Consider the following 27,806-nt stretch of genomic DNA (forward strand, 5'->3'; position numbering starts at 1 on the left):
GTGCGCGCTTGCGCGAGACCGGCATTCTCAGCCCCGCGCCGGTTTCCAGGGAGCTGGGCGCATGCGCCGCGTAAGGGGCCCGGCCGGCGGAAGGAGGTGCTACTGCCGGAAGCGCCGGCGCGCTTGCGCAGTAGCTGAACGCGGGCGTTTCTTTCCTCCCTTTTTTTCGAATTGGTTTTGGGGGTAGATTCGAGTTACAAAATGGCCGCCCGGAGCGTGTTCGGCGCGGTTCCCCCAGCTGTCTCTGGCTGAACCGGCGCTCTCGCCTCCCTGCCGAACACAGCGTGAGGAGCCCCCCCAGGGATATGGTGTTTGAGTCTCTGGGCTTGCCGAGCACTAAGTCCTCTGAGTTCCGCAGCGCAGCACCGGAAGCGGCCGAGCGCGCTCAGCCCGGCGACCCCTGCGGGCTCCAGACCCCTGCGCCGCTGCGCCCCGGGTTTCGCCGCAACCAAGACCCAGCGAGTGCAGCGGCGGCCGCCGAGGAGGTGAGGAGCGGCGGCGGGCGCGGGAGGAGAAGAGGCTGAGGGCGGGAGCCTGGTGCTGAGAGCCCAGGGCCGGGAGGGCGGGAGCGGGCTCGGGCCTGGGAGGGGAGTGCGAGTGCAGGGCTGGGGACTGGACCCTGGGGAGGGAGGTGCGGGTTCAGCGCCGGGGGACGGGCCCCTGGGGAGGGGTGCGGGGCCGGGGGACCAGACCCTGGGGAGGGGCTTAAGGGGCTGGAGGACGGGACCCTGGGAAGTGGGGTACAGGGCTAGAGGTCGGGACTCTAGGGAGGGAGCCTGGGTCGGGCGCACGGGCCGGGCGGGGCGCGCGGTGGGGGAGCGACGGGTGGAGGGTGGGGTGGGATGACAGCGGCGACGCAGCCCCGGCTGTTTTTGAAGCGGGGCCCGGGCCCCACCGGGCTGCGGCGTCCGACTCGAGTGAGACTCTCCCCTGCGGCCCCGCCGGAGGTAGGGGGCTGGCAGGGCTGTCCTGGCGTGGTCTTCTCCGTTTCCTTCCTAGCGATTCCTCTCGAGCTTCCTCTCCCCCTGGCCGCCCCTCGTCTCTCTTCTCTTGGGCGCATTACCTCTCTGGCCTGTCTTACTGCGTTCCCGGGTTATTCATCACCCATTTGCTCGGTTCCATTAAGAACCAGCTTGGAGATTAGGTATTTCTGTCTCCTTACTTGGCCCCCTTGTTGTTTTCCTCCAACAAGGCACTTCACTATTAAGTGTAGCCAAATCTGTGTTTTCGTTTTAAGGTGATGTTGACAAGTTGAGCTTTCCAAGGGCAGAGCTACACCAGATGCCAGAGACCACATAACTATATCAGGCACAAATAATGTTTTTTTCCAGTTTACCTAGACTTTCAGTCTCCCACCACGTTGCTTCATACCTAGAAATCATGTCTAATTTGGTTTTTTACCCACAAACGCAAACGTTTTTTAAATTCCCTTTTATTGATTGTTTGATTGAGACTGGGTCTTGCTTTGTCACCAGGCCTCAGTGTAGTGGTAGCTCACTGTGTAGCCTGAAGCTCCTGGGCTCAAGTGATTCTCCTGCCTCAGCTTTCCAAGTAGCTGGGACCACAGGCGTGCGCCACTACGCTCGGCTAATTTTTTATTTCTATTCATCTAATCTATGTCCATCTTTATTTTCGTAGAGACCAAGTTGGTTTCCAACTCCTGGCTTCAAGAGATCCTTCCGCCTCCCTTAAGTTCTTCATAACAGTAGCTAGACATAAGACTCCAGGTGCCAGGCCTTGTTCTGAATATTTTACAGAGGGTTTTTTCTCCCCCCCACTTCTAGCATAAAAGTAAAATGTATTGTCTGAAGTGTCATGCTTTGAAATAAAATAGGGATTTGGTAAAATATTTGTAAAAATCTGGTTTGTAATCCAAGTTATTCTTCTTCCATGCTACAACTTTTACGTTTTGGAGGGAAAATGATAGTTTATAGCCTTTGCTTCTAATAAAACTTGTTTCTTTAATAATTTATTAAGCCCTTCCTCTGCTCCAGGCACTGTTCTAAGCCAGTCTTTGTTTATCTTAACTTTCTTAATACTTCCTGTTCCACAGATGAAGAAACTGAGGCACAAAAATTAAATATAACTTGCCCAAGTTCTCACAGCTAGAAAATGGCAAAACTGGGATGCCAGCATCTTTTAGTATTTTTTGAAATACTTTATGCTCACTGGGGAAATACTTCCCCAGCTCACTGATCTAATGACAGACAGGACACCTGCTGTTTGAGCTGGGCACTGTTGGGGCATTTGGAGTATATCTGTAAACAAAACAAAGATCCCTGCGTTTTGGTTATATACTGATTTGGTGAGTATGTTAGGACGTGGAAGCCCCTACATTTATTTAGACTATTTTACTGCGTCACCTGTCTCTTCATTGTGGGTATGAGTTAGAAGTTACAATTTTACTATTACAGTTTTTGTGTATTCAGCTCCATCCCTTTTTTCTCCACAGCTAATTTTTTTTTCTTTTTCTTTTTTTTTTTTTTTTTTTTTTGAGATGGAGTCTTGCTCTGTCACATAGGCTGGAGTGCATTGGCGCGATCTCAGCTCACTGCAACCTCCACCTCCTGGGTTCAAGAGATTCTCCTGCCTCAGCCTCCGGAGTAGCTGGGATTACAGGTGCCACCACCACGCCCAGCTAATTTTTTTATTTTTAGTAGAGACGGGGTTTCACCATGTTGGCCAGGCTGGTCTCAAACTCCTGACCTCAAGTGATCTGCCCACCTTGGCCTCCCAAAGTGCTGGGATTACAGGCGTGAGGCACTTCGCTGGCCCCACAGTTAATCTTAAATAGCAAACGTGACCGTTGGTGACTTCTTACTTCTCCAACCCTCTGGTGGAGACATTAGTTAATGAGTAGGAAAATTGCCAAAAAGAATCCGTACAGAGACCTGGTTTCTGCACAGTAAAGAATTATGTCTATTCCTGTATTTGTTTTTGTTTGTATGACAAAGATTAATGGCAAAACTTAACCAAGTGTTTTTGGGTGGACATTAAAAAGAGAGGGTTCCCAGCGAATGGAAAGTGTATTTATTTCTCATCCTTTATATTTTAGAATCTTGGACTTTAATATCATTTGTAATCAGAAAAATAGCATAAACTTACAAAATTTAAAAATCACTAAAATGTATTAAAAGCTGACAGCCCGTATGTAATTACTCCACTGGCCATCAAATTGTAGAGGCCTTTGGAATACCAGCATTTGCATTTTACTTTTAGATACTAAAGAGTGATATGTCACCTCATATCTTAGCGACCACTTTGTGGGGTTGTAATACACTCTGTATTACACAATACACCAGAATAAGGAAGCTTACTCTGGTGTATTGTGGTGTTGAGAGCAAACAAGAGTGGGGAGAGTATCACGAAGGAGTTCAGGCAGGTTTAACAAGACCTGGCAGGTCCCCAAAACTAATCAGTAAGTTTTTGGGCGAGGTGGGTAGCAGGGGAAATGGAAAGGTTTTTTGTCCAGCTGGAGAGTTAGTGAAGAAGGCAGCACAACACTCATAGCGGAGCTCTGGGTTGTGGGTTTTCTTTGTTTTGTTGTTATGATATTAAGATCAGAAAACAAATCGTAAATTTTAAGGGATGGACAGGAGCACCCTCTTTGGTTAGGTGCCGGAATCCACTGCAGAGTTCACGCCGTTCCCCAACTCCTGCCCCTTCCACTAATGCCATCGTATTGAAGAGTTAAGCCAATGATTTGTTTTTGAAAGGTTATAAGTTCCCAGAATACTAACACACCCATGTTAATCATTTTGGACTTCTAATTGTCTTGGCAATATACAATTTGAAGCAACAAAATGTTCAGTCTTGGGAACCATGTATCTCTGTCGGCTGTAGCTTAAAGAACAGTATTCGTGTTGTGGAGGCGTTTCCAGCCCGTTATTCGTATTCTTACTGAAAGATACACTTCTTTAATGGGTCATCTTTAAGAGAATTTTAAATATTAAAATTATTTTCTTTATGACAAGACTTTCAGTATGTATATGCGTAGAATAAGTTAAGGACTTTTTGATTATATATACAGTACTTCAGATTCCAGATTTTTAAAAAATCAATTGATATTTCATTTTAATTTTTCCAAATGGAGTCGGTTTAGTGTTGTTCAGGACTGCTGGTGTTCCCTAGGAATCTTCTTCTGCCTCCTGGAAAAAGCCTTTATTGATTTGTAACACTGGGAGCCTAACAGCACCAATGTAAAGTTCTCATTAAAGCAGTTTCCAGATGCTTTTTTTCCCTGATAAAAAAACCAGAGATGTTTTTATCTCACTTCATGCTAGAGTGAATTTTTAAAATTCTTTATAAGAATTTATTCTTCTAGAAAAATAAACTCTTCTGTTTTCTATAACTTAGGTTCGAAAACATGGCCAAAAGAAATGCCGAGAAGGAACTGACAGATAGGAATTGGGATCAAGAAGATGAAGCTGAAGAGGTAAAAAGCAGCTTCCCTAAGAATGATTTCCTGTTTCTTTTGCCTTTTACATTCATTTTGGGGTTCCTCATGAAGACTTGTGACAGAACTAAAAGACCTTTCTAAGAACATCATGAATGGGAGATGACAAGAAATTATATGACCTGTACTTAGTGTAGATATTTATTAATTACATTTCTGTGACCTCTAGTTAGTGTAGAAATGTATTAATTACATTTAGATGTGCTTTTCCACTAGTGCCTGCTCCTTAAATATTCTCCTTAGTAGAAGCACTTTTCCTCCTGAGTTTCGTATACTTGAAGCATTCTGAACCCATGTTTGCAGTAAGCCATTTTAGTCATGACTGAAGGCTGAGTTAAGTGATGTAGTCATGAACTTAGCACACTGCCCAGATGTGAAAGTGGTACACCATCACCATCTTGGTCTGTGGTACTCCGTTTCCCTAATGCTTCTTGGAGGCCTGCTTTATTTCCTTTTCTTAATGGTAGACCTGAGACCCCTAACAATTGCATTTATAGGAATAGAATTGAGATTGGCCTAGTTCCTTTTCCAGCAGAATAAAAATGGTCTCCCCTGAGGAAATCTGATCATTTTTCCCTTATAAACAGTAGGACTGGGCAGCATAGAGAGATCCCGGTCTCTATAAAAAAAATTTTTTTTTTTTTTTTTTTTTGAGACAGAGTCTCACCCTGTTGCCCAGGCTGGAGTGCGGTGGCACAACCTCGGCTCACTGCAACTTTTATCTCCCGGGTTCAAGTGATTCTCCTGCCTCAGCCTCCCGAGTAGCTGGGATTACAGGTGTACACCACCACACCCAGCTAATTTTTGTATTTTTAGTAGAGACAGGGATTCACCATGTTGGTCAGACTGGTCTCAAACTCCTGACCTCAAGTGATCCACCCGCCTTGGCCTCCCAAAGTGCTGGGATTACAGGCGAGAACCACCGCACCCAACCCCCCAAAAAATTGTTTTAATTAGCTGAACATGGTGGCATGAGCCTATAGTCACAGCAATTTGGGAAGCTGAGGCGGGAGGTTTGCTTGAGCCCAGGAGTTCAAGGCTGCTGTGACCTGTGATTGCACCACTGCACTCCAGCCTGGGCAACAGGGTGAGACCCTGTCTAAAAAACAAAGAATAAAACACAGCTGTACTTATAGGATGTGGGCGAAGGATTACCCAGGTGCCGAGGCAAGAGACTGAAGGCACAAACTGTTTCAGTATAATACATAAAATAGTTAGAATAAGAATAGTCATAATACAAATTAGATACAGAGATGATCACGGGCATTATCAATCATTAGTATAAACATTACTAGTCATTAGCTTTTAATATTACTCTTTGTTGTACTACTAATATAACCAAGGAATAACCGGCAGATACAGGGTCAGGTGCTGAAGGGACATTGTGAGAAGTGACCTAGAAGGCAAGAGGTGAGCCAGCCCTCTGTCACGCCCGCATAAGGGCCGCTTGAGGGCTCCTTGGTCAAGTGGTAACGCCAGTGCCTGGGAAGGCACCTGTTACTTAGTAGACCGTGAAAGGGAGTCTCCTTTACTTGGAGGAGTCAGGGAACACTCTGCTCCACCACCTTCTTGTGGGAGATTGGATATTGTCCAGGCTTGCCAGTAGTCATCCAGAGGCTTGAACCCCTCCCTGTGGTGCTGTGCTTCAGTGGTCACACTCCTTGTCCACATTCATGCTCCTCCCGTAGTCCTGGTTCCTCTTTGAAGTTCTTAGTAGATAGCAGTAGAAGAAATAGTGAAAGTTTTAAAGTCTTTGATCTTTCTGATAAGTGCATAGAAGAAAATGCTGACGTACGCCGCCTTCCTTCTCTGCTTCAGCTACCTAAAAGGGAAGGGCCCCTGTCCCATGATCACGTGACTTGCTTGACCTTGTCAATCCCCTGGACGACTCATCCTCCTCACCCTGCTCCCTTGTCTTGTATGCAATAAATATCAGCACGCCCAGCCATTCAGGGCCACTGCCGGTCTCCGTGTCTTGGTGGTAGTAGTCCCCCAGGCCCAGCTGTTTTCTCTTTATCTCTTTGTCTTGTGTCTTTATTTCTTACAATCTCTGTTTCCCCCTTCGAGGAGAACACCCGCAAAGCCCAGTAGGGCTGGACTCTACAGTCGTACCTTATCAGCAGTGTGTTACCCCCAGGCCAGATGACTAAGGAAATCTGTAACCACGACTTTCAGGTTAACAGCATAGTGCTAAGTGAAAAAAGAAAAATGTTAAAACTGCAACTGTTTCCAAGCTTATTCTTAGACGGCCATCTTCCTTCTTTTGGAATCTTTCTGGTACTAGTACTTTTTTTCTCTACAAGTGTATCTCCTCACATATGTTTAGGGAAACCAGAATCCCAAGGATGTGAGTGTTTTGACAGGGTCAAAACTGATTTGGTGCTTTTTAACTAAAATCTTTGGTTATGGGGGTTTTTGGTTTTTTGTTGTTGTTGGTTTAAGATCTTAAGCACAGTTACATTCTGGGCTATAGTAACATCTAGATTACCATGTAACTATTTGCTTAGACATTAAAATATTCAGGAATGAAAGAACTCCCATTCGAACATATGCCAATGAAATGTGTGGAAAGATTACATTTAGTTAAGTACATTTAACTTGGGGCAAGTGCAGCCAGATGGTCCCCTCTATGAGTGTAGGAGCCCGTTAAGTTTAATATGATCTGAAACAACTATAGGTGAGAATTTTTGCATGAGAAATATTTTATTCCGACCCTACAGGGTAAAAGAAGGGCTATAAACTAAAGCCGAAGATATTCAGCAGCTTTCTGACGTGGACATCAGAAGTGTGGACATGAGTGTGCTTTGAGCGCACTGTGGAAGAGCAGTGGTTGTCCAGCAAGGTCCTAGGTGCCTCCGTGGCCTTTCGTACAGTGGGCAAGTTGGGCAGGACTCATCTTAAAAATCATGTGTATGTTATAAATAACAAAATTTATTTATTTATTTTTTTGAGACAGTCTTGCTCTGTTGCCCAGGCTGGAGTGCAGTGGTGCTATCTCGGCTCACTGCAACCTCCACCTCCCGGAGGGTTCAAGTGATTCTCCTGCCTCAGCCTCCCAGGTGGCTGGGATTACAGGTGCCCACCACCATGCCCAGCTAATTTTTCATTTTTAGTAGCGACAGAGTTTCACCATGTTGGCCAGACTGGTCTCAAACTCCTGACCTTTGGCCTCCCAAAGCGCTAGTATTATAGGCGCAAGCCATTGTGCCTGGCCAAAATTTATTTTTGAGAGGCCGGACACAGTGGCTCAGTTCTAGCTTGTTGTTGTTGTTGAGGATTTTGTCATCTGTTTGGCTTTATCTTACTGCTGCTTAATTTGTATTGTATTGCAGGTGGGAACATTCTCCATGGCCAGTGAGGAAGTCTTGAAGAATAGAGCCATAAAGAAAGCAAAGCGCAGAAATGTTGGATTTGAAGTGAGTGCCCCCTTACAGCTCTTGCTATTAAATACTCATTTGATTTCTGGGTTGCACAGCAATCCCTCCGCTGGGAGCAATGATATCAACAAATGCTTTCTTAAAATACTTATTCTTTGATGTAGGTCATGGGAGATAGAAAAAAATAAGAAACGTCAGGTCTGGACCTTAAAGAGAGCTTATCCAGTTGAGGAAATAAGATAAATATAGACAAATTCAAGTTGAGTGACAATCTGGAGAAGAAAAATGAGCAAAGCAATACAGAGGTGGGCGAAGTGGCATCAGATTGGAGGAAGAAAGGAAAACGCAAGGATCTTCTGAGAGTCTTGTCTGCTCCCTGCGATTGAGGCCTTGGTAGGGGGAGCCCTTTCACTATACTAGAGGCATTTTAGGTGTGGATTTTTTGCTAGTATAGTATATTAAAATGATTCATTCCTGTGCTAAGAAGGATGGAAGATGAGTTGTAACTCCTAAATTGAAATAATGTGCTGATTATTAAGCAGTCACTCCGCATCTAAGAACTCGTCCCCAGTACATCCTCTCCCTTCAGATACATTCTAGACCCAGGAGAGTGTGGTCTTGGTGGCCTGGACATCTGGTGTTAGGCAGGAGATGCCGCTTTGAATATCCTGGGTGGCAGCTTTGAAATAAACCTACCCTACCTCACGTTTTGCAGTGTTTAAAACATCAAGAATAGACTATATTCTTGGGTGTCTCTAATCTGGAAATCCAAAATGCTCCAAGATCTGAAGCTTTTTGAGCACCAACGTGATGCTCCAAGGAAATAGTCATTGGAGGATCTCAAATGGTCAGGTTAGAGGTGCCGTGCCAGTAAGCATAATGCAGACTTCCTGGGAGCGGAAATACTTACTTTCCTGAGCGTTCTCCTTAAGGGACATGCAAGCTTATTTCCCTTTTATTTCCAAAAAAAAAGGATAGGAAAGGTGTATCATTCACACTTTGAGAAGCAATGAAAAGAAATTGTTATTACAAAAATATTCATTACATTGCCAAAGTTTTGATCATAAAATGTATTAAAGTTTGAAAACGTAAGGAAGGGAGCCAGGTAGGTGGCAGTGGTGGGGAGGCAGTCAGTAAGACGTTTACAACAGCCAGTCACTCAGAGCGTCTCATAAATGGTGGTATGTGTTAATGGGAAAACAATTCAAATTATAAAAATAAAGTATTCGCAATTTTCCTAAAATATATTACTGTATATACCAATATAGTGTAATTCGAGGCAGAGATACGTAATCCTACATGAAATCGATTCTCAGGTGGTTCTGGGTAGTCTTGAACGTCTTTAGGATGCCATGGCTAATGTCATAAGTGTGTGCTCTTTCTCTGCTCCATTGCATGCTTCAGATGCATGAGAGGAGCTTCATTTCCTGACGTTGTAAAAGCTCTTTCATGTAGAATTCAGGTTAACGGGTTGCACTGCCAAGAAAGGAAGTAGGTACAGAGGAAGCATATCTCAGATCCAAGCTAGAGATTAGGTCTTGTGTTTTGTAATTAATTAATTATATTTTGCTTAAAAATTGTATTTCTTATTTGACAAAAATTATATACTTATGGTGTACAACATGGTCTTATTTTCAGATGCATAATACATTTCTACCTGCCTGTTGTACAGTAAACCTCTTGAACTTCAGGTGTTTTTTTTTTTTTTTTGTCTGGTTTGATTTTATGAATTGCCTTGACTGGTGACTAGGTGGTAGACGTAGGTGTTGAGCTGAGTGATATTTGATGGCTCTTTCACTGGGAAGATACATGGGGGGAGGGACAGTTTAATTAAGGAGGAAATGGTTGGTCTTGGAAATGCTGTATTTGAAAGGCCTTGGTACACTCAAGTGGAGTGCCCTGGAAGACCACTAGGTATACAACAGGAATTATGGCAAGGATGGGCACAGCTCCGGCAGCTTTCGTCATGTGGGGGATTGAGGCCATGGGAATGGGCGACAGGAGGCATGCAGGTGGAGGGTCCTACGAGGAGTGAGAAACAAAGCTCACTGCAGAAGCCAAGGGAAGCCATTCTGAAGGAGGGGCAGTCACCTGTGCAACCGAAGGAAGTTCAAGAGGTAGAAATAGTACAGACCATAATCTACAACTTAAGCTGAAGGGATGAGGGAAGGAGAGGGCAGGAGCCCTTGGGCAACTAAGGGAAATTAAGTGTAGGTGGATAATAGAAATCCACAGATAATTTTAGCTGTAACTCTTAGCCTGAAGTTTTCATATATTAGGACAATTAAATGTCATGTCACCCACCAGAATGCTGAAATGCGGCTTTTCCTAAATAGTGGATTCAGTAGATCTGCTAAGCACTGGAGATGTATTGGTGAGTAAAAAAGACCAAAATCATCTTGCCCTATGGAAGAGAACAAATACATAGTATTAATTTTTCCTCTGTAAGTGCCATGGGGAACAGTAAAACCAATGAGGGAAATTGAGGGATGTGGGGCTGTGTCAGTGCCCATGGAGGAGCCCACATGGGTATTTTCCCTTTTTTTTTTTTTTTTGAGACAGGGTCTTTGTCGCCCAGGGTGGAGTGCGGTGGCACAATCTTGACTCTCTGCAACCGCCGCCTCCTGAGCTGAAGCAATCCTCCTGCCTCAGCCTCCTGAGTAGCTGGGACTACAGGCATGCGCCACCACACCCAGCTAATTTTTGCATTTTTGTAGACAGGGGGTCTCACTCTGTTGCCCAGGGTGGTTTCAAACTCCTGGGCTCAAGTGACCTGAATGTCTCGGCCTCCCAAAGTACTGGTATTATAGGCATGAGCCACCACACCTGGCCCCTTGATGAATATCTTAATCAACTTTTACTCTCATTTTTCTGAATATCTTTTTTTTGTTTAACTTGTGGTTCTTGAATTTTTGTTGTGATTCTAGAGCCAATTTACTATCAGCAATTTCTAAAATCCCTACAAGTGACTTTTAACTTTGTGCAAAATCGGAGGCTCTGAAAAGCCACTTAATGGCTTTATAGTTTGTCCATGAATCATTGTTTTAAAATGACAGCTATCAGTGTGGCGGGTTTGGAATTTTAAATGATGAAAAATCAAATGTAGAGCAACAGAATCTAAGCTCTGTTTATTATGTGCATTAAAACTCATACAAGTTACAATTTTCCATTCTTTGCCTCATTTTATTGCCTTAAATATATCAGTGGTCAGTAAACATCTGAAATTCTGTAGATGAGATTGAAACTTTGGTTTTGGAAAAACATGCAGTAATATTTAGGCTGACTGGCCCATTTAGTAAATGAAGGGGTTCCAGTTTAATTTTTTTTTTTTTCTGGTGAAATCATGGTTATAATTCACTCATGTGGAAACTTAAGATTTGTGAACTGTCTCTTAGATGTTCGGTCTAAGAAGCAGATCACTTCCTATAATGTAATCACTTCTTCGAACAACAACAAAAAAGGGCTTCTAAAAATTGTGGTGAGTTTATTTAGCAAAGCACTATAAACCGAGGAACCTTTCTCCAAAAGTTCCAGGGGCAGAGAGGAGCTTTAGAATTCATACGGAATGCCACACATTTCCAGAGCATCTTAGGTTAGAGATGTGAGCAGGCTAGCACAAAGGGAAAAGGCCTACTAGAAAAACCTTGTTAAAACAATCGAGTTTAAGGAAGCAGTGAGGAAAAGGAGAGTAAGAAGTTGTCCCGGGTTGTTCAGCTAACAGGAACATGTAGATTTGAGACTCGATCATCTAAGTTTTTGTAGGCTGAAAGCAGTTGCAAGCCACAGATGTTAAGAAATTAGGCAAATGGATATTTTTAGTTAACCTACCTTGATGTTTTTATCATTTCTTTAGGCAGTAAATGGTCTTTGACTGAGTAGTACATGAAGTATCTTTCATTTGGGATTTAGTTTTATTGAGCCGCTTCAGTAATTCTGAGGCTGGGTGGTGGGTACATAGGTTTATTGCATTAGTCTTTCTTACCTTTTATGTCCTAAAAATACACATAATATATTTTTTAAATGTCCTTCCTGCCTGTTTCAGGAAAGCAGCTTTGGGTTGCAAAGCTGTTCTTATGAATACAATCTTCCCATCTCATTTCTTATTTCTGCTTGTGCCAGCAGTTTGCCTTATAACGCTGACTGCATGTGGAGTCTAGGTGCTGTTTAGCCAAGATGCTGTTGTCACTCACTTGCTTTTTGGTAATAGAAAGTACACTTACCTAATGTGTGCTCCTCCTTCATACTTCAGTCTGACACTGGAGGAGCCTTTAAAGGTTTTAAAGGTTTGGTGGTACCTTCTGGAGGAGGACGCTTTTCTGGATTTGGTAGTGGCGCTGGAGGGAAGCCTTTGGAAGGACTGTCGAATGGAAACAACATAACCAGTGCCCCTCCCTTCGCCAGTGCAAAGGCAGCGGCAGATCCCAAGGTAGCCTTTGGTAAGTAGCTCCCATCCCCCAGCCGCCTGTGTAAGTATCATCTATGGAAAATAGCTTTACAAAGATGTTTTTCTTATAGCTACCCTGTGTCTTGGAACTGTGTGAGCAAAACCAGGGTGATAATGAAAGAGATGGAACTTAGGGAGGTGTCGGTTACTTACAGAGTAAGTGGGTAGAGCACAGGCTTTTGATCCAAAACATCTCAGCTTTGTTCTCAGCTCTGCTGGCTACCAGTTGTGTGACCCTGGCCTCTAGGCCTCAGAATGTTCAATTTTGAAAGGAGAGTGGCCCTCAGAATTGACCTAGAGTCGAGAGAGAAAAGAAAATGCTATGTAGACCCTTTGTGTGCCAAGGGCTTTCTGTGTGCCTCGCACCAAACTGGCTACTGGGAACTCAGATGCGGTTCTCCGTGGCCAGGGTGCCTCCCACGCTAGGTTTGTTTGGGTATGGGATGTGTTGATTGCCTGATCCTGTTTTGAGGGAGTCAGTCAAAAACTCTTGGAATTAGCAACAGAGAATAGGATCACGGGTTAAAAGCTTGGAAATGATCCTGACTGGTTGGGTTGTATTTAGCTGATTATTCTGAGAGTATATACTGTTTGATTTTAATTTGGCAGAATGTTTAGTGTGATGTAAAATAAGTGTTCTCTGTTAAGTTTTGTTGTTGTTGTTGTTTTTTCTAAGTTGGAGTCTTGCTCTGTCACCAGGATGGAATGCAGTGGCGCGACCTCTGCTCACTGCAGCCTCCGCCTCTGGGTTTAAGCGATTCTCCTGCCTCAGCCTCCCGAGTAGCTGGGACTACAGGCATGCACCACCATGCCCAGCTAATTTTTGTAATTTTAGTAGAGACGGGGTTTCACCATGTTGGCCAGGATGGTCTTGATCTCTTGACCTTGTGATCCACCTGCCTTGGCCTCCCAAAGTGCTGGGATTACATCCGCGAGCCACTGTGCCCGGCCTCTGTTAAGATTTTTAACTACAGCCATCCCCTAGTATCCTGGGGATTGGTTTCAGCACCCCCTTGGATGTTCAAGTCCCATAGTCAGACCAGCATAACTCTTAGATAGGAAAAGTGAGTGTTCGTATCCACTGGTTTCTCATCCCCAGAGTACTGCATTGAGACAGGGTCTCGCTCTGTCACCTAGGCTGGAGTGTATTGGTGTGGTCTTGGCTCACTGCAGCCACAACCTCCCGAGCTCAAGTGATCCTCCCCCATCAGCCTCCCCAGTAGCTGGGATTATAGGTACACACCACCACACTCAGCTAATTTTTACATTTTTTGTAGAGATGGGGTTTTGCCATGTTGCCCAGGCTGGTCTCAAACTCCTGAGCTCAAGCGATTTGCCCACCTCAGCCTCCCAAAGTGTTGGGATTACATGCGTGAGCCACCACACCTGGCTGAGGACTGCATTTCACAGGTGTAGAACCTGCAGGTACAGAGGGGCGACTGTACTTTAATACTGTTCATCCCAACAACCTTGGGGATTAAGTGTTAATGCTGACCTGCTGTTCTAACAGTGCTGTTTGAAATAGGCATCCTTTTGTCTACTGCCACACCACCCTCGACGCGCCCGATCACATCTCAGATAGGCGTCCTTTTGAAGGAAAAGATTATTTTTAAAATGTGTAGAGCAAGCATATGGTGGTTAGTGTTCTTGTATAAACTTTGACTTGATCTTTATTCATCGGCTTTACTGATAACTGGTTACTAAATTCTACTCCTTGAACACATACTTTTTGAGCGGTCACAAAAATAGGGCACAGTAGGTCGGGCGCAGTGGCTCACGCTTGTAATCCCAGCACTTTGGGAGTCCGAGGCGGGCAGATCATGAGGTCAGGAGTTCAAGACCAGCCTGGCCAACATGACGAAACCCCATCTCTACTAAAATACAAAAATTAGCCGGGTGTGGTGGCGGGTGCCCGTAATCCCACCTACTCGGGAGGTTGAGGCAGGAGAATCGCTTGAACCTGGGAGGCAGAGGTTGCAGTGAGCCAAGATCGTGCCACGGCACTCCAGCCTGGGTGACAGAGCAAGACTGTCTTGGTGTGGGGGGAGATACAGTAAAAGCAGAAAGTATGAAGGCAGAGTGGCAAAAAAATCTAGATGATTTAATCAAATTAGGCTAAATAAATGGTTCAATTATTAACTTTCTATAGGTTCTCTTGCTGCAAATGGCCCTACCACCTTGGTTGATAAAGTTTCAAATCCCAAAACTAATGGGGACAGTCAGCAGCCCTCCTCCTCTGGCCTTGCTTCCAGTAAAGCTTGTGTCGGAAATGCCTATCACAAGCAGTTGGCCGCCTTGAACTGCTCCGTGCGGGATTGGATAGTGAAGCACGTGAATACAAACCCCCTCTGTGATCTGACACCTATCTTTAAAGACTATGAGAAATATTTAGCAAACATTGAACAGCAACACGGGAACAGTGGCAGGAATTCTGAAAGTGAATCTAACAAAGTGGCAGCTGAAACACAGTCTCCTTCCCTTTTTGGCTCAACAAAATTACAGCAAGAGTCAACGTTTTTGTTTCATGGCAACAAAACTGAAGATACACCTGACAAGAAGATGGAGGTGGCATCTGAAAAGAAAACGGACCCATCATCACTAGGAGCGACAAGTGCCTCATTTAATTTCGGCAAGAAAGTTGATAGCTCTGTTTTGGGCTCATTAAGCTCTGTCCCCCTGACTGGATTTTCTTTCTCCCCTGGAAACTCCAGTTTATTTGGCAAAGATACTACCCAGAGTAAACCAGTCTCTTCACCATTTCCCACTAAACCATTGGAGGGCCAAGCAGAAGGTGACAGTGGTGAATGCAAAGGTAAGTACCAGCTTTGTCGTTGAGTCGAGGTTTGCATAAGATTCTTGTTTCTTGGGAAACCCAGAGACTTTGATTCCAAATATGAGTCTGGATTCACATTGAGACGTTGTTCTCTCCATGTGTGATCTCAGACAGAGCTAATCAGCTTCTCTGAGTTTCAGATTCCTGCTTTATAAAAGAGTAAGACTTTTGTAGGGTTGTTTATAAGGATTAAAAATAAAATGAATTTGAAAACACCTGACTTTGAAAAGTCTCAAACACACATGGTTTAGCATATAAAAAACAAGTGAATTAAAGACGTTTTTTGAAAATTGTGTTTTTGGAAAAGTTCATCAAGTTCATCATGAATGTCCCCTGAATTGATTTGTACTTAGGAGATCTCACTGTAAATAAAGTCATGTGGCAAAACAGTACTTGACTATACATTACAAATGTAGACTTTTCATAGCCATAGAGAAGAAATCAACATTGTTTTCCTCCTGTGGGTTTGGAGGCGCCTCCTTTCCAGAGCGTGGCAGTGGTGTCTAAGTGATGTTTCCTGTGTGTATCGTCAGTGCCCCAGACAAGGCACAAGGTCTGGGCCCTCCAGACCTCTGTTGTTAGCTTAAAAAGTGGGGTGATGTCATGATGCTGCTTCCTCACATGGTGGTTGTGAACAGGTGATGTCTGTGAAGACACCTACTTCTAAGCAGTTGAAAGTGAGGCCAGGTGAGGTGGCCCACACCTGTAATCCCAGCACTTCGGGAGGCCAAAGTGGAAGGCTCACCTGAGGCCAGGAGTTTGAGACCAGCCTGGGCAACATAGCAAGACCCCATCTCTACAAAAATTTTTAAAAATTAGCCAGGCCAGGTGGTGGGCGCCTGTAGTCACAGCTACTCTAGAGGCTGAGGTGGGAGTATCTCGAGCTCAGAAGTTCAAGGTTGCCATGAGCCGTGGTTGCATCACTGCACTCCAGCCTGGGCAGCACAGACCTTGCCTCAACAAAAGAAAAAGTGTACTTCTCAGACATATGGACATACTGATCCTTGAGGAAGAAAACTGCATTTGCCAATTTGCCTCTGAAATATTACGGTTTTCTATCAGGAGTCTAGACTTCCATTACTGTTTTGCCTTGCCCTGCTTTCAAGTATATCCTCAGGCACGGGCCCTCTGGGCACAGGGTGAAATAAGGGTCTCCCCTTTTCTTTCTTCTCTGCCTCCCATAAATAAAACAAATGGGGAGTCTTTCCTGAGGCAGGCACTGGGGATTTGAATCGAGTCCCAGTGGAGGCAGGATGCCCCTCAGTGAGCGCCTGTTCCTTGTCCCTTGGTTATCACAGTTTAAGCATCAGAAGACTCGGGAGATTGGAGGGATAAGACGGACAGTCGTGTGACCTAATCATCTGAGCATCACAGTTGTTTTTCTTAGAATTGCTTTTTGGTGAGTTTTTATGCAACTGCCGTTCTCTTTAAGAGGATCCTTTTATATATGTGGGGTTTTTTATTTTTTTGAGACAGGGTCTCGTTCTGTCACCCAGGCTAGTAGTGCAGTGACGCAATCATAGCTCACTACAGCCTCTACCTCCTGGGGTGAAGCAATCCTCCCACTTCAGTCTGCCAAGTAGCTGGGTCCACAGGCACGTACCGCCACACCTGGTTAACTTTTTTATTTTTTGTAGAGATGGGGGGCGTCTCACCATGTTGACCAGACTGGTGTTGAACTCCTGGGCTCAAGCGATCTTCCTGCCTTGGCCCTGCAGCGTGCTGGGATTACAGGCGTGAGCCACTGTACACAGCCTAATACATGTGTTTAAATGATGGCCTAGGTCTCCCGTGTTTGGGAGACCCCGTTAGTGGGGATACCTTTGGTACCAGAGCAGTGACCCATGTGGCAATTCAGACAAAGCTTAAATTACTTACACTGGGGCTTTGGAATGATTTTTCTGACAACTTGTCCCCTGTTAAAAAAAAAAAAAGTATTTTTCTATCTTTGGCTATTACTGATACTTGTAGATGTAGTCACAGGAATATTCAGGGGTGAAGGTGTTAAAAACTCATCCGAGATGGAATTTTCCAGTGGGTAATTTGCATATAGAGTGTTGATTTTTTTTTTCTGTCATAAGCATGGAGATTTTTCCATTTTAAGGTTTTCTATATATTGGAAGTTATTTTAGAATTAAGAGGTATGTTCCCATTAAAAGGGATTCTTATTTTTCACAAAATAGTTAAAATCCTGCAGGTACTCCCTTCTGGCATCCCCCCCCCCCCCCATTAAGTGTGCATTTTAGTCTGTCAGTTTACATGGAGTGCTCCGGTGGAGGTTTAGGGTGTTACGTAACAAAACTTCAGTCACTTCTTTAAGCTCTGGATTGGAATCTTACTGAATTATTGTCATTTTTATAAAAGGTGGAGATGAAGAAGAGAATGATGAGCCACCCAAAGTAGTAGTTACCGAAGTAAAAGAAGAAGATGCTTTTTACTCCAAAAAGTAAGAATCCCCACAACCTGCTGGCGCATGTGTTTTGCAGGCATGGTGGCATGCTTCAGGCTGGAGAATGTCCTCACGGCACTTGACTGAGCTTCCAGTCTCGGGGTCAAGCTTTGCCTGCTCTCAAGTGGAACAGGAAAGAATTCTTGGCCAGTTTATTTAAAAATCCAGTTCTAGAAATGTCCTGGTGGGCAGGTCTCACTCTTTTCTGTCACTTTAGCTCTTTTAAAGTGCTTTAGAGACAGGATCTTCCATGATCTTCCCAACCCCATCCCATCCCATCCCATTCCATCCCGTCTTCTCTCCCTGTGTCTTTCTCCCTCCCCTTCCTCCTCCCCAACAAAGAAATCGCAGAGTCAGTCAGTGATTTCAGGTTTGGCCTCAGAAGGCATCTCTCATCCCTTCCTGGAGACTTGGTTGGCCTTTCTGGATTTTCTCATAGTCAAAAAGTTAAGCACAGTAACCGTCCCTTCCTGTTGAGGACTTATAAAAACTTTCATCTTCCTTTCAATTAAATGAGATTAGTTTTTACAAAGATATTTGCTGAAAAAACATCTGTGCCATTTCAGAAGCTTTCAAAGATGTGTTTTTGTAATGCAAAAATTTCCGAATAATGAGCCAGCAGTTTTCCATGAACAGGTCACCACATCCTGTGGGATTCCCAGGTGTTAGTTTCAAGAACTTTTAAAAGAGGCCAACAATTTCTTCTGTGTTTAAATTTCATTACTCACATGACATAAAGGAGTGACCCAACTTTAAGATTTTTTTTTTTTTTAATTAGAATCAAATGAGGCCAGGCATGGTGGCTCATGCCTGTAATCCCAGCACTTTGGGAGGCTGAGACAGGCAGATCACCTGAGGTCAGGAGTTCCAGACAAACCTGGCCAACATGGTGAAATCCCGTCTCTACTAAAAATATGAAAATTAGCCTAATGTGGTGGCGCACGCCTGTAATCCCAGCTGTTTGGGAGGCTGAGGCATGAGAATTGCTTGAACCCTGAGAAGCAGAGGTTGCAGTGAGCCAAGATCATGCCACTGCACTCCAGCCTGGGCCACAGAGTAAGACTGTCTCAAAAGAAATACATAAATCAATACATGAGCCATGGTTTTGTATTAATAACCTCAGGAGATGCATAGCACAGGAGGCTGGGAAGATATTTGATTACTTTGTTATTAGTTAGACCCTACCCAAGAATGTTTTCCAAATTTATTTAAAAATGTTGTGCAATCAAAAACTGAAAGAGCCTTGAGGTTTGTTTTTTTTTTTTTTTTTTTGAGACGGAGTCTCTTTCTGTCACCCAGGCTGGAGTGCAGTGGCACAATCTCGGCTCACTGCAAGCTCCGCCTCCCAGGTTCATGCCATTCTCCTGCCTCAGCCTCCCGAGTAGCTGGGACTACAGGTGCCCGCCACCACGCTCAGCTAATTTTTTGTATTTTTAGTAGAGACGGGGTTTCACCGTGTTAGCCAGGATGGTCTCAATCTCCTGACCTCATGATCTGCCTGCCTCGGCCTCCCAAAGTGCTGGGATACAGGCGTGAGCCACCGCACCTGGTCGAGGAGAATTTTTAAAATAAGAAATAGGCCACAAAAAAAAAAGGAGGGAGAGGTGGGCGAGATAGGACAGGGTCTTTGTCCTTTATTTGTTCCTGTCTTTAGAGGACCAGATCGGCGATCTTGAGCTCAGGGCCAAAGGAGCAGAATGGCAGGGGTTGGGGGCGGGGGGGGGGGGGGGTTGGTGTTGAGCCCTGATTTTGACTGACTTGAGAACACAGTTTCAGAAAGTGTTATAAAAAGTTTCATGGGGCCCACTGTTTAATTTGAAAAAATGGGGAGGAGTTTTAAAATCTCTAAGCAGATTTTCTTATTCTGGTTTTTGCTCAGGCTCTGTTTGGATCAATTAAAGATTTATCCTGAAGCTTCCTGTACTCATTTAATAGAGATTTTCCACACAAGTGTGAAGAGTGGTTGTTAGAAAACTGTGTGACTTGATTCGTCCTTGAATGCTTGATGGTCCCTATTATTTTTCTCCATAGGTGTAAACTGTTTTACAAGAAAGACAATGAGTTTAAAGAGAAAGGCATAGGTACTCTGCATTTAAAACCTACAGCAAATCAGAAGACACAGCTTTTGGTGCGGGCAGACACCAATTTAGGTGGGTACCTTTTTTCAGTTAGCACAAAATCATCATCACATAGTATATAAAAGCGTTTACCCTGCTGACTCAAGGTTATTAATATGTTTTTAAACAGAGCGCATTCAGGCCAAATTCATCCTGTATTTACTTATTTATAGTTTTGAGTCCCAGGATAATAGTGTGTAAGGAAACATAAATGTGTTAGAAGCTGTAAACAAAATGATTTTTCATTTTCCTTTGTGTTAGAAATGTGACTAAGAAGCTAGAGATTAGACCATTTAATGAACACCCAAGGGAAATTAACCTTTTAAAGGAATCCTTTTTATATAGCAAGTAATGACTAACTGCTTGCTGTCCATCCTCAGTTTTAACCTGAAAAGAGTCCACTGCAAGGATCCTAGTGCCCGGAGGAGGAGGAAGACGGGGCAGGCCTGCGGTGGAGCGGGCAGTAGTGGTAGAGAACAGGGGGCTGTGTTGCAGAAACTCCAGGGAGGCATTTTTCTTTCCCGTGGGCTTGACTAGGGAGTAATAACATGGTCGTGTCACTTTTGCCCAGGGAGCTGTGCCGGCCTGTGACAGAGGTGTCCTTTGTCCGTGTGGCGCAGTGAAGACACTGGGTTGTGCCACCGTGTTCTTCCTTCAGTGCAAAGACGGACAGTGTTGAGAGGGCTGACGGTTCTGAGCGAGGCTGCTGGCTCTGAGAGAAACGCTGTGTGGGTGCAGAGACCCGGGCTGGAGGGAGGACGGAAGGCCACTCCTCACAGTGAGGGCAAGTGCTCCCCGAGGCCTCCCAGTTCTCAGGGAACCAGTCCTGATTTTGTGCTGTCCTGTTGGCTCCCTGTCTTAGATGTATTAAGTTATTTCAGCATTTAATGTTTAGCATATTACAGACTCCTTTGGTGGAGCTATAGCTTCTATAATTTTGATGGGTTTTGTTTGTTTGAATGCAGGCAACATATTGCTGAACGTTCTGATTCCACCCAATATGCCATGTACGCGAACAGGGAAGAATAACGTTCTTATCGTCTGTGTTCCAAATCCACCAATTGACGAGAAGAATGCCACCATGCCAGTCACCATGTTGATTCGGGTAAAAACCAGCGAGGATGCAGACGAGTTGCACAAAATTTTACTGGAGAAAAAGGATGCCTGAACACGCAAAGTCGGCTGCAGAATTATTGCCAAGTTGCTGCTGCTTCCACCGCCCCTTAAAGTTAGTCAGTTTTTCTTCTCTTCTTTGACATTCTAAGAACTTATAGATAACTTAAAACTTTTGTGAGGAAGATTAATGTGGCCAATAAAACCTTTAAATGTTAAGTGTCAAGAAACTGCACTCTCCCTTCTTAAGAACTGCCTAAAGTGTAAAATACATTTGAATGCAATTTTTGGAAGATTTTTTAATGTTCGTTTATTAAACTAACCCTAAGTGATTTCTTCAAGGACTGCAATCAGGGTATCAATTTGCTTTCCCAAAGGCTCTTCCAACCCGTGGGTTTTGGGGTCCACCGCCACCACGAGAGAGGCTTTTGAACAGGTGCCTGGCTGTGTTCAGAAGGAAGCTGGCCTGTGTGCTTCTCTCCGGTGGGCTCAGCCGACGTGTGAGACTTGTTCTGTTACCAAATGAACCGGGCTGCCACGCTGTGACAGGCGTTTGTCCTCTGCTTTATTTTTACTTTGAAGCTCAAATGCGAGTACTAAGTGTTCACCTCAGCGTTCGAATCATTGGCCTGTAACCCTGTGGGCTGCTTCACGAGAATTCAGGACCTGCATTTTCATTCTAAAAAGAAATGAACAGCTTGTGAAGGAGTTTTTTGGCTTCATAGTTTCTATTCATGAGGTAGTGTTACTTCTTTATCCCCCTAAAGACAAAATGAAGATAAAGGGGGATTGCCAGGAATGGGTTTAAAAGCACAAATGTGGTAGCTTATCATCTACACCATGGAGAGTGAACCCTTACGAAATGAAAGTCAAATGAGACCATCCGAGAAAAAGATGCGCATAGGCATTTGTACCATGATCAACCCCACGCACATGAAAACTGTGACCAAGTGACGTGCCTGGGAGCTTTGACACACGAGCCGTGTGAATTCACTAGGAAACATGTAATAAAGTCATGGAAGAGAAAATCGTGTGTAAACTTTGCCTTTAACTTTAGACCGCAGTATATTATAATACATTTGATATCTGAAATATCTTTACTTTTTTAAGAGTAAGATTCCATATGTCTGTCTGGAAGGGAGCCATGGTTATTCACACGAATATCCCTGTCACTTCTCCAGAGGTGTCAGGTAACTAACACGAGCATTCTTTGAAGACTCTGGGCACATGAATGATACACAGAATTGAATGTTTAAATTTCCACTGAGTCCTCATGAATCATTTGAGACTAGTACCAGCTGATCTTGTGTACAGGCTCAGGGTCAGTGCCCAAGGGCTCCCGCGTGTGTGTTCTGATCTTCAGTGCGTAGCACATTCTCCATTTAGAAAAGAGTGGTCAGAATAATTGTGGACGGTACAGTGGCTTTTTAAAACTACAGTCTTTAGGTGTAAGGTTTGGCGCCGGGAGCAATTTTATGATCAAATATGATGAACTCCTAAGTCACTGAGGTGTGATTGGGCCAATGTTGGCATGAGGTTCTTGCTCTACTTCCAGTGTTTTGATTCCACTGGGAGAATTTGGCCTAGTGTGTGGCTTTGGATGAATCCGTGTAGAGAGAGGTGAGCTTGTCCTGTTACAGATGCTGTCAGACATAGCGATAGTAGGCACCTAGGGAGGAAGTGGCCGTTAGTTTTACACTGACTTTTTAAGAATGGAGAATGCACGTGGGTTTCTGTTGCGGATGATTCATAGTAAGCAAGCGGTTGATGCTGTTAATACCGGCCCCACCCGATTGACATTAAGTTTATTCAGCTTTTAAAAAGATGAAGAACTAAGGGGAACAAATTTAAGTTTGTTGCAACTTAGCCACACATGCTTCCCTGGTACCAGCTGGAATCAGCAGCTCACAGGCATCTTCAGGACACTTCAGTGTATATGACACAGTACTTTGTTAGCGTCTGCGTGTGTATGGAAAGTTGACAAAAAATGGCATGAAAAGATCATGATTGGATTTTCTTTTAAACCTGCCCTTCTGTAAAAAATAGTTTATATATTTTTAAATTAGTAGGTATGTGTGGCTTCCTTTTTTCCTAACATTCCCAGCAAATTTTTGCTGCTAAGACTATCACTGTTAAAGTGAAAATTACAGGGAAAAATGTGATGAATATACCGTAACTCAAAATGTGATATTTTCTTAAAATCACTCTTTTATGCTTTAGGAACTGGTTGGTCTCCACTTTGATTATTAGTGTAAAGAGCCTGAGTATACGTGGATTTCATTGTAAAATTTAACTCCTTGTCTTTTACTTGGGGCACGGGGCCCCTGGAGGGCTTCCCTACTTTCCCCACTATGTTAACAGGTAATTCTGATTTATGCGTTTAGTTTGACTTATTTTTAACAAAATATTAGAAGTTATGCTTTAAAATGTTTAATGTGGACTGAAATTTTCATCTTTTGTTTGAGAATCTATGAAGTGTATCATATACGTGGCCTAAAGCAAGGTGTGTATTTTGTTATTCTGAAATTGTTTTGCATCTGGACAAATACTAAATATCCCAGTGGCCTTTTTTTTTTTTTTTTTAAAACCTGTGTATCCATCTCATCCTTTTGCGCATTCCTAGTAAGCAAAAAAATTTGTTATGCCATCTTCATTATTCGAATTACAGACTGAAAAAATATGGCCAGTTTTTAAAGAAGTTTAGATTATGTTTTCCATGGAAGGACAAGTCTGACTGTTCATAGGCTGATTTTCTTTAAGAGGATTATTCTGTTTTACAATTTCAATTCTAGATCACATTTTATATATGCTGCATGCCAAAAAAAAAAAAAAGAGAAAACTGCCTTTTCTGGTGTGGAGGGGAAGAAAAACTAATATTCTACCTTACTAGTAGAGTTCAAAACAAGTTTTCACTGAGAGCCTTTTCAGTAAAAGTTAAACAAGTTTGTTTTTTGAGCATTTGTCAGTTATTCTATTTCAGAAGAGTCAAAATTCAAGCACGATACATTTTGAAGGCTTTGCAAACTCCTAAACCCCTGATGAGTCCTCTCATTCTGGAAGTGGGAATTTGAGTAGATACTGATTTGTCCCGTAGTATGGCAGATGACAGGGAGGTCTTTTCCAAGCAGGCACTCAGAACACAGGTCACCGTATGTTCTCAGCCAGTAACAATCATACTGAGGACGAAGGACTCTCCGTTTGATGCAGACACAATTGTAATGGAGATGTAAAACTTCTTAGCAATCAGATGGATAAATTGTTTGCTTTTTACTTTAAATAGGAAATTGTTTTCTAAAACTAAAATACTTGAATTGTCAGACAATATAATCTCAGCTTGTATTAGTTTTTGAATGCTCCCATCGAGGAAGTGTAACAATCCATGAAATGTGAATAAATGAAAAGTAAACAAAATCCCAATGTGTGAGTCTTATGTTCCTCTGTGATGCACTTGGCATTAATACAAGTCAGACAGACCTGAGGAAGAAGAATCAACGCAGAAGCTGCAACCGGAAACTTCCTTGAACAACAGGAAGGTCAGCTTGGAGGTGAGTGAGAGACCAGTTTATTATCAGACTCCTTGTTGGGGGCCGAGACTACTTTTAAACCATTCAGACCAAGGGTTTCTGTTGGATTAAAATCTTAACAGATTGGAATGGGAACAATTGATCCTTAATGGGCTAGTGTGCAAAGCATTGGCTAGGTGCTTTATATGTATTACCTTGGTTAGTCCTCAAAGCAAACCTTTGAGACTTATTTTTTAACCTTTCCTATGTTACTCAGCATTTATTTGGTTTATAAGGGGTATTTTCTGGTTTAAAAAAATAATATTGCAAAGATTTAAGTTATCCATCAAAGTATTTTCCTGAACCGTTAACATCTAATAGAAACTAAATGACACTAAGAGAATGTCATCTGAAGAGGAAGATTGCACCTGAGCCGCAGCAGCCCTGTTTAGATACTCAGCTGCATGGCTGGGCTAGAACCTGGGTTCTCAGAGTGGTCCTGGGACTGACACATAAGAAGTTGATGGAAATGCAAGCCCGGCCGGGCCCAGTGGCCCACGCCTGTAATCCTAACACTTTGGGAGGCCGAGGTGGGTGGATCGCTTGAGCCCAGGAGTTTGAGACCAGCCTGTGCAACTGTTGGGAAAAGGGCTTGTGGGGTGCCTGTATAAACTGGCCATAAAAATACAGGACACTAAGTTGTGGAAAGCCACAAGAGGTCTCTGAGGAGGAGAGCCTCCTAATTGCCATCATGTTCCCATGCTCAGAGTGAGACCTGCTCTCGTATCTGTAAACACTGTGTTCAAGGAGAGAGACACTCCTTTGAAACACTGGAATGCGGACAGACGTGCAGGCTCCGAGTTAAGCCCGCTCCCACCAGCTACTCTCCGATAAAGATACGCTGTTTGAGCAGCACAGAGGAGGTTCGTTGAAACCGCTGTTGCCGTAGATGATGCCTGTGACGCGCCGCCGCCCTTCCACTGTTTCGCCCCGAACATCTGCTTAAATCTAAGTGATTGGACTCAATAGTGTGGAGACCAGAGCTCTAAGCCTTTTGCAGCCTCCACATTTTGCAACTGGCCCCCTGGCTCCCACCTTCACTCTTAACCTGTCTCTTCTCAATCCTTTGTCGCCACCAGACTTCGGGTACCCTACGGGTGGTGTTGAGGCTGGTCCCCAACATGCAACATAGCAAAAACCCTGGCTGTACAAAGAATACAAAATGTAGCCAGGCATGATGGCATGCACCTGTAGTCCCAGCTACTTGGGAGGCTGAGGTGGGAGGATGGTTTGATCCCAGGAGGTGGAGGCTCCAGGGAGTGAGCAGTGATCATGCCACTGTACTCCAGCCTGGGTGACAAAGCAAGACCCTATCTCAAAAAAACAAAAAAAAATCAAACCCGGCTGGGCGAGGTAGCTCACGCCTGTAATTGCAGCACTTTGGGAGGCTGAGGTGGGAAGATTGCTGAGCCCAGAGTTAGAGACCAACCTGGGCAACACAGCAAGACCCTGTCTTTAGAAAAAAAAAAAATTTTTTTTTTTTAATTAGCTGGGCATGGTGGTGGAAGGAATCGCTTAAGCCCAGGAGATCCAGGCTGTAGTAAGCCGTGGTTGCGCCACTGTACTCCAATCTGGGTGACAGCAAGACCCTGTCCGTGCCCATCCACCCCCCCACAAAAGGCTAACCCATGGGCCCCAACTAGGCTACTGAATCAGCGCCTCAGGTTGGAGCCCATTTTTAAAAATTGAGATAGAATTCATATAAACTGCACCCCTTTAAAGTACATGATTCAGTGGCTTTTAGTATACTCACAGTGGTGCAGCCGTCATCACTGATCCAAAGTATTTTCCTCACCGGTCTTCTGGGTTTGAACGTTGGGTTAGAGCGTGCATTAGGTGATCCTGAGGCATGCTCACATTTGGGAACCGCTGGCACATGCACTCCCGATGACTCCAAAGATGGCCCGTGAAATACCCCTTGCACACGCCGGGAAGAAATGGCAGTAGTGATCAGCGTTGCCAGCAACTATGCCAGCCTTTGGACGTAACCTTGTCTCACTTCAACATCGTCGCGTCCCAGGAAGGAAAGTGGTGATTCTACTTGAGAAAACCCAGGCCCAGGGTTAAGTGTGTCTGAGGTGGTGCAGCTTGAGGTCCCAGCCCCACACACCTCTCCCCAGCGTGCCACGTTAAGTGAGATATACGTGCCCACTAAATTACTCAACTGCACTGGCTTCTGGAAGTGGCTAAAATCTTTTAAGCAAAATTGTTTATTCAGAGTAGCATAAAATTTGGCTAAAAGCCATGGTTATTTCAAAATGAGCAACCTAATTGTTTCATTAAAATCAGATTCCAAGAGGAAAGACCCCAGTCCACACAGAGGAAAGAACTCTCTAACCTGTTGGCTGATGGAGAGGCTAAGTCAGGGGCAATTCAGTGACACTGTAAGGAAAGAAAAGACAACATGATCCTTTCTTTATCCCCAGAAACAAGTATTTTCTCTTCCTCATGTAAATTTTCCAGCTGTTCTTAGCATTTTAACAATCAGGCACAAAGTACAGCATGTTACCACAGTCAACATGTCTATTTACAATGAACTGTGTTATTATATGGATTGAGTTACATTCCCCTCTCCTCCCAGTGTAAGATTCCCAAAGGTTTTCCTTTCCAGTTACCTTTTTTCCTTCTAAGCTAGGGCATGACAGTACTTCCTAAAAGCTCATCTAAGGCTAAAGGAACCGAAATAGCAGATTAGCCTTCCAAGAGGAGGCAATGAATAGGAATGAGGTTCCCGCAGGCAGCTTCCAAGATAGAGACTCTCCCCAAATTTCTATTAAACATTTTTCAGGTGACTGCTTTAAAAGGACTTCCCACTGTTCAACAAGAAGGGGGTTGACCTGGATGGCAAGGAAGTCTTCACCTGCTAGACCGCCTCCTTCCTAACCTCCATCTTCATGGGCTGCCTTTGGGGTTGTGGTCAGAAAATTCTCTTGGTCTGGTGTTTCTAAGGCAGTGGCTGTTCCCAAGAAGTGTCATTGATGGGATGTCCCTTACTGTATTCCGGAATGCTTGCGTTCCTCTCAGACCCTCTTTTCTCTGCCCCTCATTTTCCACTCTGTAACTTTCTGCGGTGTCTTAGGTCTTAACATCCATCGCTGGTAACTCACTAAGTCCATCTGACCGTGGAAAGGAAAAGCTCACAGTGTGAAAGGCGACGATGAGGCTGCTCCCACCTACGAGGGCCCTGCAGTAGCAGACTCGGAAGGATCAGCCGGAAAATGCGAGAGCCTGCTCGAGGTCCCCTCACCTGCTGAGCTGCAAGACAGACGCCTGCTGCAAACACCTCATCTTCCGTTAGATCAGCCAGCTTACCTGGAGCCTGCAAAACCTGAACTTGGGGCTCCTGGCCTCTATTCCATTTTTTCCATTTCTGTGAGGGTTAAGAGGTTCTCTGAAAAAGCCTGGGAAATTTTATAGTACAACTGAAAGGGTGTGCACTACTTTGTGGAGGCTA

At 44.1% G+C, this 27,806-nt stretch overlaps 1 protein-coding gene and 1 long non-coding RNA gene across 9 annotated transcripts, besides 5 other annotated features; one reads left to right on the plus strand and one right to left on the minus strand.

Annotated features, from left to right (window-relative positions):
* Positions 43 to 565: an enhancer, noted in NCBI's record as "H3K27ac hESC enhancer chr22:45559735-45560257 (GRCh37/hg19 assembly coordinates)". NCBI's record gives its function as "activates a minimal SCP1, AML or CMV promoter by ChIP-STARR-seq in naive H9 embryonic stem cells {active_cell/tissue: H9 hESC(naive)}" and the evidence as "EXISTENCE:reporter gene assay evidence [ECO:0000049][PMID:30033119]".
* Positions 43 to 675: a biological region, named in NCBI's record as "H3K27ac hESC enhancer GRCh37_chr22:45559735-45560257".
* Positions 114 to 24,206, plus strand: NUP50 (nucleoporin 50). 8 transcript variants are annotated; one of them, NM_153645.2, is made up of 9 exons: positions 860 to 947; positions 4,357 to 4,435; positions 7,177 to 7,366; positions 7,789 to 7,872; positions 12,083 to 12,269; positions 14,427 to 15,089; positions 17,475 to 17,556; positions 19,591 to 19,709; positions 20,642 to 24,200. In NM_153645.2, the coding sequence occupies exons 4-9, from the start codon at positions 7,804 to 7,806 to the stop codon at positions 20,842 to 20,844; spliced, it is 1,323 nt and encodes a 440-aa protein (NP_705931.1). In that variant the 5' UTR covers positions 860 to 947; positions 4,357 to 4,435; positions 7,177 to 7,366; positions 7,789 to 7,803; the 3' UTR covers positions 20,845 to 24,200. The 8 variants fall into 8 exon arrangements, with proteins under 8 accessions (NP_009103.2, NP_705931.1, XP_024307914.1 ...); XM_011529833.2 differs by lacking the exon at positions 7,177 to 7,366 and adding an exon at positions 2,054 to 2,305 and having other exon boundaries at positions 868 to 1,144; positions 20,642 to 24,206; NM_007172.4 differs by lacking the exons at positions 860 to 947; positions 7,177 to 7,366 and adding an exon at positions 114 to 485 and having other exon boundaries at positions 20,642 to 24,206.
* Positions 446 to 675: a silencer, noted in NCBI's record as "silent region_13873". NCBI's record gives its function as "represses an Ori minimal core promoter by ATAC-STARR-seq in GM12878 lymphoblastoid cells {active_cell/tissue: GM12878}" and the evidence as "EXISTENCE:reporter gene assay evidence [ECO:0000049][PMID:35858748]".
* Positions 706 to 885: a silencer, noted in NCBI's record as "silent region_13874". NCBI's record gives its function as "represses an Ori minimal core promoter by ATAC-STARR-seq in GM12878 lymphoblastoid cells {active_cell/tissue: GM12878}" and the evidence as "EXISTENCE:reporter gene assay evidence [ECO:0000049][PMID:35858748]".
* Positions 12,431 to 27,801, minus strand: LOC105373064 (uncharacterized). Its single transcript, NR_146602.1, has 4 exons — positions 27,213 to 27,801; positions 26,691 to 26,734; positions 26,106 to 26,389; positions 12,431 to 12,571 (listed from the first exon to the last, which is right to left on the minus strand). It is a non-coding gene; the product is annotated as an uncharacterized LOC105373064 (long non-coding RNA).
* Positions 27,058 to 27,558: an enhancer, noted in NCBI's record as "H3K4me1 hESC enhancer chr22:45586750-45587250 (GRCh37/hg19 assembly coordinates)". NCBI's record gives its function as "activates a minimal SCP1, AML or CMV promoter by ChIP-STARR-seq in naive H9 embryonic stem cells {active_cell/tissue: H9 hESC(naive)}" and the evidence as "EXISTENCE:reporter gene assay evidence [ECO:0000049][PMID:30033119]".
* Positions 27,802 to 27,806: the final 5 nt, after the last annotated feature.

The sequence above is a fragment of the Homo sapiens genome, chromosome 22 (genome assembly GCF_000001405.40).
Source record: "Homo sapiens chromosome 22, GRCh38.p14 Primary Assembly".
NCBI classification, from domain to species: Eukaryota; Metazoa; Chordata; class Mammalia; order Primates; family Hominidae; genus Homo; species Homo sapiens.

Bases quoted from the DNA above. Each gene is read 5' to 3' on its own strand.
- NUP50 (NM_007172.4), top strand. From the start codon at position 4,367: ATGGCCAAAAGAAATGCCGAGAAGGAACTGACAGATAGGAATTGGGAT. The intron at 15,090-17,474 runs GTAAGTACCAGC...TTTTTATAAAAG, and splicing joins TGACAGTGGTGAATGCAAAG to GTGGAGATGAAGAAGAGAAT. The intron at 19,710-20,641 runs GTGGGTACCTTT...GTTTGAATGCAG, and splicing joins GCGGGCAGACACCAATTTAG to GCAACATATTGCTGAACGTT.